This window comes from Homo sapiens, chromosome 4, assembly GCF_000001405.40.
Source record: "Homo sapiens chromosome 4, GRCh38.p14 Primary Assembly".
Classification (NCBI taxonomy): domain Eukaryota; kingdom Metazoa; phylum Chordata; class Mammalia; order Primates; family Hominidae; genus Homo; species Homo sapiens.
In genome coordinates, this window is record NC_000004.12 from 54,973,601 (window position 1) to 54,977,149 (window position 3,549).

General features: G+C 41.6%; 1 pseudogene; it reads right to left on the reverse strand.

The window, feature by feature from the left end:
- RPL38P3 (RPL38 pseudogene 3) lies at positions 2,515 to 2,797 on the reverse strand (annotated as a pseudogene).

Sequence of the window (3,549 nt, forward strand, 5' to 3'; positions counted from 1 at the left end):
AAGGCCCTGGGCTGGCTGTCTACATACAATGTGCCACAAAAGGCATCTCTGTAAAGATGGAACCCCAAAGGTTGCAGAATGAATATCCCTTACCTATTCTGAAAAGGTACAGCAGTAAGGTCTAGGTGCGGACAAGGGAAGTTATTTCTCACCCTGCCAAGGAGAAGGAAGAGTCAGCTTAAGGGATCTATGGAGGCTCTTTTTTCCAAAGCATCCCTGTAGAGGCATCCCTGAGGGACAGCCAGCCAGCTGGTTATGTTGCTTTTCAATGTGACATTTCTGGACTCTTGGGATCATTGGGTTATATTTGGAATTCATCCTGGCCACTGTCTGGGTCTCCCATCTTTAACAGGCACATCAGCAGGACAGTTTTAGATAGAAAAGATCGATAAAATCTGGCAGCACTTGCACTGGTTTCCATGGTGACATGCTGAGCACCTACTGGTCCTTAAAGACCAGCAATATGAATAGTTAAAATGAATTATTTCAGGGCCCTCTAGCCTAGAATATAGGGATCCAAGATAAGAAAATTTTTTAAAGCCTATTCTTCTGGAACATAATTGATAGCTATAGATACATACACAGGAAGGGACATTAGAAAGAAATATCCAAGCATGATTTTGTTTATAGAAAAATAAAAACAAACAGAGATTGGCTATAAGTATTTTTATATCAGAGAATTGTTTCAGTGCATTACCTGGAGCCTTACTTGCTGAGGTCTTCAGGTCCTTTAGGGAAGTGTTTCAGAACATGTACAATCTTATCATTTCTTTTATCAGAACTTGAGTTCTCATAACTATACACCACTGTGCCTTACTTTACATTTATATTCACTTTAAGTTACTGTTTCTACAATAAACCCTCCACCCCCAATACACTGAGGCACATTTGGCCCCTTTGAGCCAGTGTGGGCTGCCAGCACTGTGAATAGGGAACGTCCTCTCTGCCTCACAACATCTGCACACTTGATTCAGAGATGTCTTTCCTGTATCCCTCACCGTCCTCTGACAGAACCCCATGGATCAGCTTTACAGGTCTCTATTTCCAAATCTGCAGGGGTCTCTCTCTAACACCTGACTAGTTAAATAGGATTCCCAGATTTAGCCCATCTATCTCTGGCCACCTGATCTTAACACTTCCCTTCTGGTTGGAATTTTCCATGGATGGATCCACCTTGAATTCCCCTCTTTCAATTACTCCTTCAAAAAGCAATTCCTAGAGGCCATCCTTGTAAAGCAAGATGATGGACCACCCTCTTTGGAGACCACCCTTAAGATAGCCTCACCAGACACCAACTGGCCCCATGGGATTTCTTCCTGCCTTCTTCTTCCCTCCCTTCCTTTGTAAATTCAATGTTAGATTTCAAATCAAAATCCTCAGCTCATCATTCACTATTCTCACTGATCCATGCAAGGCTCAGTATGCATGTATTTATAGACTTCTTATATAACAAAGATTGATGTCTTGTATGAAAGTACTTTCAATGTACACAAATTGTGTGGCATCATTCACTTCATTCTGTTCCTCACTTTTTCACTCAGGAGTCTCTTCATGTTGCTGCACATATATCAAGTCTGTTGTTTAACTGCTTAATAATACTCCCTAGTGCACATCCAGTACAAGCGCTTCTCCAGTCACCCAGTAAGAAACCACAGATTGCTGACACTTCCCTGTAAAACAATGAACATCTTCATATATGCCCCACTATAGACCTGTGTGAGACTTTCTCTGGGATGAGAACCCAGACATCCCACCCACAACAATCTTCTGGATTCCCCATCTGGATTGCTGGGTCAGAGGATATGCATATTCTTAATTTGACCAAATAGGACCAGAGGCTCTCCAGTGTGGCTCCAACAGTCCACATCCCCAACAGCACTGCATGAGGATCTTTACATCCCCCATCCCCATCTCCCTGCAACACTTGGCTGGAGTTCCAGCTTTGTAAGTTGTGCTAATCTGATAGATTTGAAGTTGCTATTGTTTACACTTTCATCTCTTACAAACCCCCAACGAGTCTGAGCATCTTGTCATAAGTTAGATATCATTTAAAAATTATCATTTTAGTTTCTTTTTCTCATGAATCATGTTTTTTTCCTTTTACTAGATTTCTACTGGAATTCCCAAACTCCTCATCAGTTCTCTGTTACTTTTATCCATGACTATTTTCATGAAAACAGAAAAGCTTATTTTGATGTAATTAAATCCATCAATTTTAGCCTCAGGTTACTGGTTTGGGGGTTTTCTATCTTAGATGGAATTCTACAATCTTTCCAGCAAATATAATGTTTATTGTAGGTATTTGTCACATGACCTTTATAAATTAGAACATTCTCTTTCAGACCTGATTTTCTAAGAGTTTTAATTTTTAATCATGAAGTTATTGAATTTTATCCAATGCTTTTTCTGGTTCTATTACGATCATCCTATAGTTTTTCTCCTTTAGTGTATTCATGTGGTGAGTTACATTGGCTCATTTTCTGATGTTGAATCATCCTTGCTTTCTTGTTTTAAAGGATTTTTAATATTTTAATACAGTTTAGATCAGTGTGTCTGGTTCATTTCAGCTCCTTCACTGCCAAACCAGGGGGCAGGGACTAGTTCAGTTTCTCTGCCTTCTCTTTGTCAGTGATGATCAGGGTATAAAGGAATCTGTTGCATGGAACTTTAAACTTCATATTGTCCTTACTTTTCTTGATCTTGACAGATTTGGCATCCTTTCACCAGGCTGTAAGCAGAAAACCCTTGATTTCCTCAATTTTCTGAGGCATGGCGATAAGGTACACCCGGCGCAGACTCATCCTTGCTTTTATGGAGATAAAACTGTCCTAATTTTGTGTTATCTCTAAGATAATAATATCTTACTTTATAACAAAAATTATTGTTAGGGGCAGAGCAAGATGGTGGAATAGAATCCTACACCTTTCATCCCTTTTACTGGAACACCAAATTTTAATAACTACCTGCCCATGGAAAAGCACCATCCCAAAAACCAAAAATTAGGTGAGGAATCATAATACCTGCTTTTAACTTCGTATCACTGAAAGAGGCATTGAGGAGTGCAGGAGAGACAGTCTCGAATCATGGATACCACACCTCCTCCATCTGCTGTCAGCAGAGAGAGGTGCAGAGAGAGGGAGAATCTGTGCACTTTGGGGAGGGAAAATGCAGCAACTTGGGGATTTTACATTGAACTGGGTGCTGCCCCATCACAGTGGAGAATAAAGCCTTGCTGGTCTCAACCAGCACCTGCACACCAGAGGGAGCATTTGGAATAGCCCTAGCCAGAGGGAATCGCTCATCCTAGCGGTAAGAACTGGAGTTTTTCAGCAAGCCTCGCTACTGCAGGCTGAAGTGCACTGAGGGCCTAGGTAAACTTGAAAGGCAGTCTAGGACACAAGGACTGCAATACCTAGGCAACTCCTAGTGCAAGGCTGGGCTGAGAGTCAGCGAATTAGGGTGGTACCTAGTGAGAACTAGGTGACCTAGGGAGACACCAGTGGGCGCAGCTAAGGAAGTGCTTGTGCTACTCCTCCCCACAACTCCAGG